This window comes from Homo sapiens, chromosome 5 (assembly GCF_000001405.40).
Source record: "Homo sapiens chromosome 5, GRCh38.p14 Primary Assembly".
Taxonomy (NCBI): Eukaryota; Metazoa; Chordata; class Mammalia; order Primates; family Hominidae; genus Homo; species Homo sapiens.
In genome coordinates this window covers 72673729-72687040 of record NC_000005.10, presented here as the reverse complement: position 1 = coordinate 72687040, position 13312 = coordinate 72673729, and the positions used below count along the sequence as shown (strand labels likewise).

Sequence of the window (13312 nt, the reverse complement as noted above, 5' to 3'; positions counted from 1 at the left end):
TGGCGGAATTGTTTACTGTGAAACTCTGCTCTTACATGCAAGGCTGGGAACCCCTGCTTACTTCCAGAGGAGTAGGGCTGCGATATGCAGCTGATGATGTTCTCTTCTTTATGTTGCTTACAGCTATGATGGCTCCCATTATTAATGGGACACAGAGTCTCATCCTTTGAGGTTAGAGCCACAAGGATCCTCAGAGATCAGCCAGTCAGAGTCCTCATTCTAAAGATGAAGAACCTAAAGCCAGGAGAGGTGGAGTGACTTGCCAGAGGTCATATACTTAGTGGAGGCAGGCTGGACCCAGGTCTGAAGCCCTCTGACTCTTTGAGTCCAAAGTACCCACTCGGCTGCCACTATCTGTAGTAGCCCTTAATTATAATGGCCTCATTATCTGAATCTTCATAGCAATAGGTGGTAGACCTTTGCATTCCCCTTTTATAGATGGAGAGGCTGAGGCACTAGGCAATCGGGAACTTGCCCAGAGTCATCCATCTAGTGTGTATGAATTGGGCTGTACCCCCGGGGCACCTCAAAGCCCATGTGCTTGACTACTGCACCATGTATATATGGGGTCATATGACATTATTTTGTAATCTGCTTTTTTCACTTAAAAATATATCATTAAATTTTTCACTAATGTTTTCTACCCCATGATTTCAATTTTATTATATACATTATACTCTGGTATGAGCAGCTTCACTGTCAAATTTCACTAATGGAAACAGTGCTAAATTTTGCAGAAAATTATCTGTTATTTCCTTAGGCTAAATTCCCAGAAATTAAATTGCTGGGCTAAATTTAGGCATACACATTTAAAAATATTTTGCTATGTGTATTAGTCTGCTTGGACCATCATAGCAAAATACCACAGACTGTGGTTTCAACAATAGAAATTAATTTTCTCACTGTTCTGGAGGCAGCAAGGTTCCAGCAGTGTTTGGTGTCTGGTAAGAGCTCTCTTCCTGACTTGCAGGCTACCACTATGTCCTCCCATGGCCCTTCTCCTGTGTGTGCATCAGAGAGAGAGAGGTCTCTGGCCTCTCTTTCTCTTCTTATAAGAACACCAGTCCCATCGGATTAGGGACTCACCCTTATGACCTCGTGTAACCTTAATTACCTACTTAAAGTCCCTATCTCCAAATATAGTCATTTTGATGGTTAGGACTTCAAAACATGAATCTGGAGGAGGGAGGAACAATTCAGCTCTAAGGACAGTATTCCAAACTGTCCTTTAGTTGGGATGTACAGTTGATGTGTCTACCATTGGTGCATGAAGAGCTTTCCCCTGAACCCTTGTCAACACAGTATTGTTTAAAAATATTTGTCAATTTTATGGCTAAAAAATCATCTTTCATGGTTCTAATTGCAATAATTTTTCATACATATACATTTTGGATGCATTTCCTATTTATTCCGTTTATCCATTTTTCTATTTGTTATTTATCATTTGAGACTTACTTGGGCGTATATACTTTTTGTCATATGCTACTAAATTTTTTTGCAGGTCATTTTTACTTTATAATTTTGTTTATGAGTATCACTTTTTAAATTTTATTGTGATTTATTAGATAATATTATACTTTAAAATATGATTTTTAATTACCAGCGTGTATCTTTGCTTCTTTATTTTATTTTATTTTTATTTAATTTTTGAGATGGAGTTTCGCTCTTGTTGCCCAGGCTAGTGTGCAATGGCGTGATCTCGGCTCATCACAACCTCCGCCTCCCAGGTTCAAGCGATTCTCCTGTGTCAGCCTCCTGAGTAGCTGGGATTACAGGCATGTGCCACCATGCCCGGCTAACTTTTTGTATTTTTCTTTTAGTAGAGACGGGGTTTCTCCATGTTGGTCAGGCTGGTCTCAAACTCCCGACCTCAGGTGATTCACCAGCCTCGGCCTCCCAAAGTGCTGGGATTACAGGTGTGAGTCACCGCGCCTGGCCTTGCTTCTTTATTTTATACAGGAAATACGAATTTATTATAGCAAGCCTAAGAGGCATAGACAAGCAAGACAAAGAAAAAAATCACTTAGATGTAACCCCTATAGACATTTTTGGGTATAGCCCTTCAGACTTAACCATGCAAATATATACATGTGAATATCTATGTTATACATAGCCTTTTAAACGTTTTGTAAAAATGGGATCATACTTGTACCAAACCTGGTTTATGCAACAGCCCAAAGTTGTTTGGTCCTGCTTCTCCTTGCTTGTCTGATGGAGCTGCCCTAGGTAGCCCTGGTGACCACCCCTGCCCCTGCCATTGGCACCACCTCCAACAAGACACACCGTGAGTGTCTCTGGATGGGACCCACAGAGGCCATAGCATTCCCAGTGGCTGCTTGGAGAGGCCAGGCAACACAACCCAGAGAAGGAGGGAGAGAGAGGGCTATTGCCCTGTGGGGGGACTTTGACAGTGAGAAACAAAAGATGGAAGGGACCAGCAGAAAAAGGATTCATCTTGCCTTCATCCAGTGGACTGTTCTGACAAGCAGTGGTATGGGCACCTCTTTAGAGATGTTTTGTTTGTGCAACATTGTGATACTTAATGCATCATGATGAATTTGCTCTCCCTCCTTCCCTGCCTCACATTTCTGCTTCCTTCATTCATGTTTCCTTAGGATTGCACCTCCAAAAAAGCACTGGAGCAAAAATGTTTGCCTCATACTCTATATCCTGGAGAATTTTGGCTAAGACTCTTTTTGTATTTTTATCCCACTGTGGCAAATTGATTTGTTTAATTTTGAGCAATTAGCTTTAACTATCTTGAGTGTTGTGTTGAGAAAGATTCTGAAGCTCTGCTCTAAGCTGAAAAGAGAGTCATGGTTGAAAAGTAATATCTATAATGTGTGTTTGGAATGGGCTTGGCAGAGTGGTAGAATGTGTAAGCTGAATTGACTTCCTGAAAGATCATCCGAGTTTATACAGCAGTATACTGAACCCTACATACATACAGTACTGTGTTTTTCTCCTATACGCATATATGTATAATAAATTCTAATTTATAAATTAGGCACAGTAAGAGATTAACAACAATAACTGATAATAAAATAGAACAATTGTAACAATGTACTGTGATAAAAGTTCTATGAATGTGGCAAATCCCAGCCAGGCACCATGCCTCTCTGCCTTCTTCTCCACTTTTGCTGTTTCCTGTCACTTCTCCTTTGAATTCCAGTGTCCTCTCTGGATAATGTATTTGAAATGTGACTGTTTATACACTATTTTGGTTCTTCTAAGTGGAAGGGGTGGGCATAAAATGCTTCTGGTCAGTCATCTTGAAGCCCACTCCCCAGGTACAGGGAAGTTTTAGGGCAATGAAACTGTGCCATATGATACTGTAATAATGGTGGATACGTGTCAAACTCTCTTTCTCTCTCTCTCAAAATATCTTATCGTCTGTACTAACCTATTTTCAGATTGCAGTTGATCACTGGTAACTAAAACTGTAGATAATGGGGGACTACTGGGTATGATTGTCATTTCTTGTGTTGCAGATTTTCTTCTAAAATAATTTTTCTTTCTCTTGGTGTACACCCTTTAGAAATTCTTTACTGGGAATCTCAGGTTTTGTTCTTCTGAAATATTTTTATTCATTCTTGAATGGCAGGTTTTTGGAGTATAAAATTTGAGGTTCATGATTATTTATTTTCACTGAGCACATTTAAGAAATTATTTATGTGGCCTCCACTGTTGATTTTGAAGTCAGCTGTCAGTCTATTTGTCTCTTCTTTGTAGGTAATTTGTATAGTTTCCAGCTGCTCTTAAGATAGACTCTGTATTCTAAGTATTCTTCTATCTTACTATGATGTGTGTAGGTGTGTCTTTATATTTATTTATTCTGTGTGGAATTCATTGTGCTTCTTGATTAAAAAATGCATGGAATATTCTGGAATATTATTTATACAATCTCTTCAAGTGTTGTCATTCCTTTATTCTTTCTTTCTTTTTTTTTTTTTTTGAGATGAGGTCTTGCTCTTTCGCCCATAGCTCACTGTAACCTCCACCTCCTGGGTTCAAGCGATTCTCCTGCCTTAGCCCCTGGAGTAGCTGGGATTACAGGCATGTGCCACCATGCCCAGCTAATTTTTGTATTTTTAGTAGAGACGAGGTTTTCCCATGTTGGCCAGTTTGGTCTTGAACTCCTTACCTCAGGTGATCCACCTGCCTTGGCCTCCCAAAGTGCTAGGATTAACAGGCATGAGCCACTGCTCCAGGCCTCCTTTATTCTTTTTGTAATCTCTGCTGTTTCTGAAGCTCTGAGTAGACGTATGTTGGTCCTTCTCATTCTTTTCTCTGTACCTCTTAACTTCATTGCTATATATGAAGTGTGTGTATAAGTATGTATGTGTGTGTAGTTTTTGTCTCTTTATGCTGCATTGTGTATAACTTTTTTCTGATTCATTAATTCTTTCTATTTCTAATCTGCTGTTTAATTCATCCATTAAGCTTTTTTTTCCATGATGTTCCTTTAAATATAGTTAATAGACTTTATTTTTTAGAGCAGTTTTAGGTCCACAGCAAAACTGAATGTAAAGTACATAGAGTTCCCACATAAACTCTTGCTACACACATTCCAGCCTCCCCACCATGCACATCCAACACCAGTGTGGTCCGGTTGTTACAATCAATGAACCAAAACTGATACTTCATTATAAACCAAAATCCATAGTTTAAGATTAACTTTTTATGTACATTATATAGGTTTTGACAAATGTTTAATGACACATATCCACTGTTATAGCATTATATGGAATAGTTTCATTGGCCTAAATATTCTCTGTGCCTGAGGGGTGGGCTTCAAGATGACTGACTAGAAGCATTTCATGCCCACCCCTTCCACTTAAAAGAACCAAAATAGTGTATAAACAGTTCCACTTCAAATATATTATCCAAGAGAAGACACTGGAATTCAACAGAGAAGTGACAGGAAACACCAGAAGTAGAGAAGGAAAAGGTGGAGAGGCAGCACCCCTGGCCAGGATTTGCTGAGAGCCGTGAGTAAGTTCTTCATGTGAGGAAAGAGTGAGTGAAAGCCTTCTAGTGCCCCATGTCCTCACTATGAATCATGCAATGCTGGCCACAAAATTACCTCTCAACCCTCCTAACCCCTGAAACCAACATGGGGGAGTTGCCAGGAGACCATGGGATGAAATGACACCAGGGAGGGAGCTCGTGCTGGGTCCCATACCTTTTCAAAGACATAAGAAGCTATAGCAAGGCCCCACTGTCGAACCCATGCTTTGACAGACTGTAGACTGTCCTGGAGCACAGTGGCACTGGGACTGAGGTGTTATGGAAACCCAGGCTGTGGTTGCTGGGACTAGGGAGCGAGCTGGGAGCACTCCTGCAGTTGGGATCAAGAAATGAATGAGGTGTGGGGTGCAGCTGCTAATGCTGGGAAGTGAGCACTGCTGAGATGAAGACCAGAAGGCAAGTGGTGCTTGAGTTGCCACTGGGATTTGGTCACCAGCTGGGTGGGGGTGTCCTGCAGCCTGGTTGGGGACATTACTAGGTCCAGGCTACTGCTACCAGGGCTGGAGGACAAGCCCCACCAGGACTGGGACATGAGAGGGCTATGCATTTTCTACTTGCTGGCGCAGGCTTGGACGCTGAGTATGGCTGCACCCTCTCCAGTGGCAGAGCCTCAGCACTGCTGCTACCACCCCTCAGCCAAGCACTCTGCCAGGAGTCCAAGGGATGCCCCACCCTTGCCTACCATGGCTGCTGCCAACTTTTACCCTTGCAGGGCCTGAATATAAGCCCACCCAACCTGACTTCCCTCCTACACCCCTGCAGCAGAGCACATGGCCTGGGGTCCTGGAATTGCCCAACCTAACCCACCACATAGGGCATCAGGGCACTCCTCCTGGGGGCCTGAGGTTGGGCCTAAACTCTCAACCACTGCCATCTTAGTTGGCACCTACCCGCAAGTGCCACCTGTAGGCCTGGAGACTGGCCCACCCAGCTTATTTCAGCCACTGCCAATATCAACACACACTGCTTGGAACACAGAGAATTGTCCTGCCAATGCTACTGTCATTGCCCATCCCACACTAGCTGCCCAGGGGACCAAGAATCCACCCACTCTCCTAGTTCACCACTGCCACTATCAGCATCTAAGTAAGTAAGCCACTTGGAAGCCCAAGAATTATCCACTTAAAACATAGAATGGCTGAATAAATTTTAAAAGCCGTGTTTCCAACTGCATGCTGCTTACAAGAAAGTCATCTTACCAGTAAATACATAAAGACTGAAAGTTAAGGGACGGAAAAATATATACCATGCAATAAAAACCAAAAGTAAGCAGGAGTAGCTATATGTATATCAGATAAAACACACTTTAAATCAACAACAGTAAAAAAAGAAAGGCAAAGAAAGTCATTACATAATAATAAAGGCATCAATCCACCAAGAGGATTTCACAATTCTAAATATATATGTGCTCAACACTAGAGCACCCAGATTCATAAAGCAAATATTACTAGATCTAAAGAGAGAGACAGACTGTAATACAATAATAGTGGGGGACTTCACCACCCCACTCTCAGCATTAGGCAGATCATCTAGACAGAAAATCTAGATTAAAAAACATTGGATTTGAACTGTACTTTAGACCAAATGAACCTAACATTTACAGAACATTCTATCCAACAACTGCAGAATATACATTCTTTTAATCAACACATAGAACATTCTCCAGGCTAGACTATATGTAAAGATGCAAAATAAATCTAAAAATATTTTTAAAACTTGAAGTCATATCATGTATCCTTTTAGACCACGATGGAGTAAAAATAGAAATCAATACCAGGAGGAACTTTGGAAACTATATAATTACATGGAAATTAAACAACATGTCCCTAATGACCATTGGATCAATGCAGCAATCAAGATGGAAATAAAAGCATTTCTTGAAACAAATGAAAATGGAAATACAATTTACCAGAACCTGTGGGATATAAAAAAAGCAATGCTAAGAGGGAAGTTTATAGCAACAAATGCCTACATTAAAAGAGTGGAAAGATTACAAATGAACGATCTAACAATGTACCTCAAGGAATTAGGAAAATAAGAACAAATCAAACCCCAAATTAGCAGAAGAAAAGGGATAATAAAGATCAGAGCAGAGCTAAATGAAATAGACTAACAAAACACTACAAAGCATCAATGACATGAAAAGTTGGTTATTTGAAAAGATAAACACAGTGGCTCATGTCTGTAATCCCAGCACTTTGGGAGGCTGAGGTGGGCGGATCACGAGGTCAGGAGATTGAGACCAACCTGGCTAATACAGTGAACCCTGTCTCAACTAAAAATACAAAAAATTAGCTGGGCGTGGTGGCGGGTGCCTGTAGTGCCAGCTACTTGGGAGGCTGAGGCAGGAGAATGGTATGAACCCAGGAGGCGGAGCTTGCAGTGAGCCGAGATGGTGCCACTGCCCTCTAGCCTGAGTGACAGAGCAAGACTCTGTCTCAAAAAAAAAAAGAAGATAAACAAAACTGATAAACTTCCAGCTAAACTGACCAAGAAAAGAAAAAAGAACCAAATAAACAAAATTAAAAATGAAAAAGAAGACATTATAACTGATACAACAGAAATACCAAAGTTATCAGAGACTATTATGAACAACAATATGCTGACAAACTGGAAAATCTGGAATAAGTGGATAAATTTCTGGAAACATGAAACTTCCCAAGATGGAATGAGGAAGAAATAGATGACCTGAACAGACAGATAGTAAGTACGAGATTCAATTAGTAATAAAAAGTTTCCCAAAAAAGAAAAGCCCAGGACCAGATGGATTCACAGCCAAAGTCTACCAAACACACAAAGAAGAAATAATACTAATCTTCCTGAAACTATTCCAAAAAATAAAAGGGGGGAATTTTCCCTAACTCATTCTACAAGGCAAACATCACCCTAATATCAAAACCAGACAAGGGCACAACCAAAAACAAACAAAACAAAACAACAAGCTTATTTCCCTGATGAACATAGACACAAAAATTCCCAATAAAAATACTAGTAAACCAAATCCAATAGCACAATAAAAGGATAATAAATCACAAACAAGTAGGATTTATATCAGAATGCAAGGATGTTTAATGCCTACAAATAAAAAAACATGCATATCACATCAAAAGAATGAAGGACAAAAACCCTATGGTTATCTCAACAGATGCAGAAAAAACATTTGATAAAATTCAACATCCTTTCTTCATAAAAACTCTCACCAAACGAGGCAGAGAAGGAACATACCTAAAAATAATAAAGGCATGTATGACAGACCCACAGCTAACAACATATTGAATGGGAAAAACTTAAAAGCCTTTTTTTCTAAGGACTGGAACAAGACTGGGATGTGCACTTTCACCACTCCTAGCCAGAACAACCAGGCAAGAGAAATAAATAAAAGGCATCCAATTTGGAAAAGAGGCAGTCCAATTGTCCCTCTTTGCTGATGATATGATCTTATATCTAGAAAGACCCAAAGACTCCATCAATAAACTCTTAGATTTGATAAATAAATTCAGTAAAGTTGCAGGATACAAAATCAATGTACAAAAATTGGTAGCATTTCTGTATACCAATAATGATATAGTTTGGAAAGAAAATCAGGACACCAATCTCATTTATAGCAGCTACTAACAAATACCTAGGAATAAATTTAACCAAGGAGATGAAAAATCTCTGCAAGGAAAACTACAAAACATTGATTAAAGAAATAGAAGATGACACAAACAAATAGAAAACATTCCATGATGATGGATTGGAAGAATTAATATTGTTAAAATGACTATATTGCCTATAGCAATACACATATTCAGTGCAATCCCTATAAAAAGGTCAACACCATTTTTCACATAATTAGAAAAAACAATCCAAAAATCCATATGGAAGCCAAAAGGAACTCCAATAACAAAAGCAATCCTGAGGAAAAAGAACAAAGCTGGAGGCATCACATTATCTGATTTCAAAATATATTGCAAGTCTATACTAACCAAAACAGCATGGTATTGAGATAAAAATAGACACATAGGTTCATAGAACAGAATAGAGAACCCAGGAATAAACCCATATATTTACAGCCAACTGACCTTTGACAAAGCCAACAAGAGGGTAAATTGGTGAAAGGATACCCTCTTCAACAAATAGTGCTGGGAAAACTGGATAGCCATGTAGAGAAGACTGAAACCAGATCCCTGTCTCTCACTGTATCGAAAAATCCACTCAAAGTGGATTAAAGACTTAAATGTAAGACCTCAAACTATAAAAATGATAGAACAAAACATAGGGAAAACTCTCCTGGACATTGGTTTAGACAAGAATTTATAACTAAGACCTCAAAAACACAGTCAACAAAAACAAAAATAGACAAATGGCAAAGGAAACAATCAACAGAGTGAACAGACAACCTGTTGAATGGGATAAAATATTGTAAACTATTCATCTGACTGGGTGCTAATATCCAGAATATGCAAGGAACTCAAACAACTCAACAGGGAAAAAAATCCCATTAAGAAGTGGGCAAAGGACATGAATAGACATTTCTCAAAAGGAGATGTTCAAATGGCCAACAGTTCTATGAAAAAATGCTCAACATCTCTAATTAAAGAAATGCAGTCTAGGTGTGGTTGTTCACACCTGTAATCCCAGCACTTTGGGAGGCCGAGACAGGCAGATCACTTGAGGTCAGGAGTTCAAGACCAGCCTGGCCAACATGGTGAAACCCTGTCTCTACTAAAATACAAAAATTAGCCAGGCATGGTGGCAGGTACCTGTAATCCCAGCTACTTGGGAGGCAGAGGCAGGAGAATTGCTCGAACCCAGGAGGCGGAGGCTGCAGTGAGCCGAGATCATGCCACTGCACTCCAGTCCAGGCGACAGAGTGAGATTCCCTCTCAAAATACAATAAAAAAGAGAAATGCAAATCAAAACCACAATGAGATATCACCTTCTACCAGTCAGAATGGCTATTACAAAAAATACAAAAAATAGGCCAGGCATGGTGACTCATGCCTGTAATCCCAGCACTTTGAGAGGGGGAGGCGGGTGGATCACGAGGTCAGGAGATAAAGACCATCCTGGCCAACATGGTGAAACCATGTCTCTACTAAAAAATATATAAAAAATTAGCCAGGCATGATGATGGGCACCTGTAGTCCCAGCTACTCGGGAGGCTGAAGCAGGAGAATGGTGTGAACCCGGGAGGCAGAGCTTGCAGTGAGCCAAGATTGCCCCACTGCACTCCAGCCTGGGTGACAGAGCGAGACTCTGTCTCAAAAAAAAAAAAAAAAAAGACAAAAAATAACAGATGTTGGTGAGGATGCAAAGATGAGGGAACTCTTCTACACCGTTGGTGGGAATGTAAGCTAGTACAGCCACTATAGAAAACAATATGAAGATAAAAAAAAAACACCTAAAAATAGAATAGCCATTCAATCTAGCAATCCTACTATTGGATAGCTACCCAAAGGAAAAGAAATCAATATATCAAAGGAAGACCTACCTGCACTCACGTGTTTATTGCAGCACTAATCACAATAGCAAAGATGTGTGATCAACCTAAATGTTTATCAATGAATCAATAGATAAAGAAAAAGTGGCATATACTGAATGGGCAAAAGCTGGAAGCATCCCCTTTGAAAACTGGCACAAGACAAGGATGCTCTCTCTCACCACTCCTATTCAATATAGTACTGGAAGTTCTGGCGAGGGCAATCAGGCAAGAGAAAGAAATAAAGCATATTCCAATAGGAAGAGAGGAAGTCGAATTGTCTCTGTTTGCAAACGACATGATTCTGTATTTAGAAAACTCCATCATCTCAGTCCAAAAACTCCTTAAGCTGATAAGCAACTTCAGCAAAGTCTCAGGATACAAAATCAATGTGCAAAAATCACAAGCATTCCTATACATCAACAATAGACAAGCAGAGAGCCAAATCATGAATAAACTCCCATTCACAATTGCTACAAAGAGAATAATATACCTAGAAATACAGCTAACAAGGGATGTGAAGGACCTCTTCAAAGAGAATTACAAACCACTGCTCAAGGAAATAAGAGAAGACACAAACAAATGGAAAAAAAATTCCACCTTCATGGATAGGAAGAATCAATATCATGAAAATGCCCATACTGCCCAAAGTAATTTATAGATTCAATGCTATTCCCATCAAACTACCATTGATATTCTTCACAGAATTAAAAAAAACTACTTTAAATTTCATATGGAACCAAAAAAGAGCCCATGTAGCCAAGACAAACCTAAGAAAAAGAACAAAGCTGGAGGGATTATGCTACCTGACTTCAAACTATACTACAAGGCTACAGTAACCAAAAAAGCATGGTACTGGTACCAAAACACACATAAGACCAATGGAACAGAACAGAGACCTCAGAAATAACACCACAGATTTACAACCATCTGATCTTCGACAAACCTGAGAAAAACGATCAATGAGGAAAGGATTCCCTATTAATAAATGGTGCTTGGAAAACTGGCTAGCCATATGCAGAAAACCGAAACTGGACCCCTTTCTCACATCTTATACAAAAAATAACTCAAGATGGATTAAAGACTTAGACGTAAAACACAAAACCACAAAAACCCTAGAAGAAAACCGGGTAATACCATTCAGGACATAAGCATGGGCAAAGACTTCATAACGAAAACGCCAAAAACAATTGCAACAAAAGCCAAAATTGACAAATGATATCTAATTAAACTCAAGAGCTTCTGCACAGCAAAAGAAACTATTATCAGAGTGAACAGGCAACCTACAGAATGGGAGAAAATTTTTGCAATCTACCCATCTGACAAAGGTCTACTATCCAGAATCTACGAGGAACTTAAACATGTTTACAAGAAAAAAGCAACACTATCAAAAAGTGGGCAAAGGATATGAACAGACACTTCTCAAAAGAAGACATTTATGCAGCCAACAGATATATGAAAAAAAGCTAAACATCACTGATCATTAGAGAAATGCAAATCAAAACCACAATGAGATACCATCTCATACCAGTCAGAATGGTGATTAATACAAAGTCAAGAAACAATAGATGCTGGAGAGGCTGTGGGAAAATGGGAACACTTTTACACTGTTGATTGGAATGTAAATTGGTTCAACCTTTGTGGAAGACAATGTGGCGATTCCTCAAGGATCTAGAACCAGAAATACCATTTGACCCAGCAATCCCATTACTAGGTACATACCCAAAGAAATATAAATCATTCTACTATAAAGACACATGCACACATATGTTTAATGCAGCACTATTTACAATAGCAAAAACATGGAACCAACCCATACGCCCATCGATGATGGACTGGGTAAAGAAAATGTGGTACATATATACCATGGAATACTATGCAGCCATAAAAAGGAATGAGATCATGTCCTTTGCAGGGACATGAATGAAGCTGGAAGCCATCATCCTCAGCAAACCAACACGGGAACAGAAAACCAAACACCACATGTTCTCACTCATATGTGGGAGTTGAACAATGAGAAAACATGGACACAGGAAGGAGAACAGCACACTGGGGCCAGTTGCGGGGTTGGGTGGGGGAAGGAAGAGCATTAGGCCAAATAGCTAATGCATGCAGGGCTTAAAACCTAGATGATGGGTTGATAGGTTCAGCAAACCACCATGGCACACATATACCTATGTAACAAACCTGCACGTTCTGCACTTGTATCCCAGAACTTAAAGTGAAAAAAAAAAAGTAGTATAAATACACAATAGAATACTTTCCAGCCACAAAAAAGAATGAAATCCTGTAATTTTTGCAGCAACATGGATGGAACTTGAGGTTATTATGTTAAGTGAGATAAGCCAGGCACAAAAAGATAAATCTCACACGTTCCTGGTTACATGTGGGAGCTAAAAAATGTGATCACATGCAGGTAGAGAGTGGAAAGATAGATATCAGACTAGGAAGGGTGGGTGCTGGGGAGAGGGAAGGGTGAAGAGAACTGGGTTGTAGGGTATAAACATATAGTAAAATAAAAGGAATAAATTCAATGCTTGATAGTAGAGTAGGATGACTATACTTAACAAAAGTTGTCACTTGTCATCCTGGCTGTACCAGCTGAAACTTACTAACTTGCCTGCACCTCAGTTTTTTCATTTATGAGGAACTGCATCACCCCCATGAGATCTTGGAGCCCTCTTCTAGCCTGGACATTTGCTGAAGAGCACAGATTCTTTCATGAAACTGGCACCTGCAGCTGTCAGCTTTTGATTTATGGTTTAGAACACAATTTGCCCTAAGTACTTTTAAACACAGATTTTATTTTAGCTTGAG

The 13312-nt window shown here is 39.7% G+C and overlaps 1 long non-coding RNA gene across 14 annotated transcripts in view; it reads left to right on the top strand.

Moving 5' to 3' along the window:
* TNPO1-DT (TNPO1 divergent transcript) overlaps nt 1–13312 on the top strand; it is a 245434-nt gene that overhangs the window by 129508 nt on the left and 102614 nt on the right. The window lies entirely within an intron of this gene.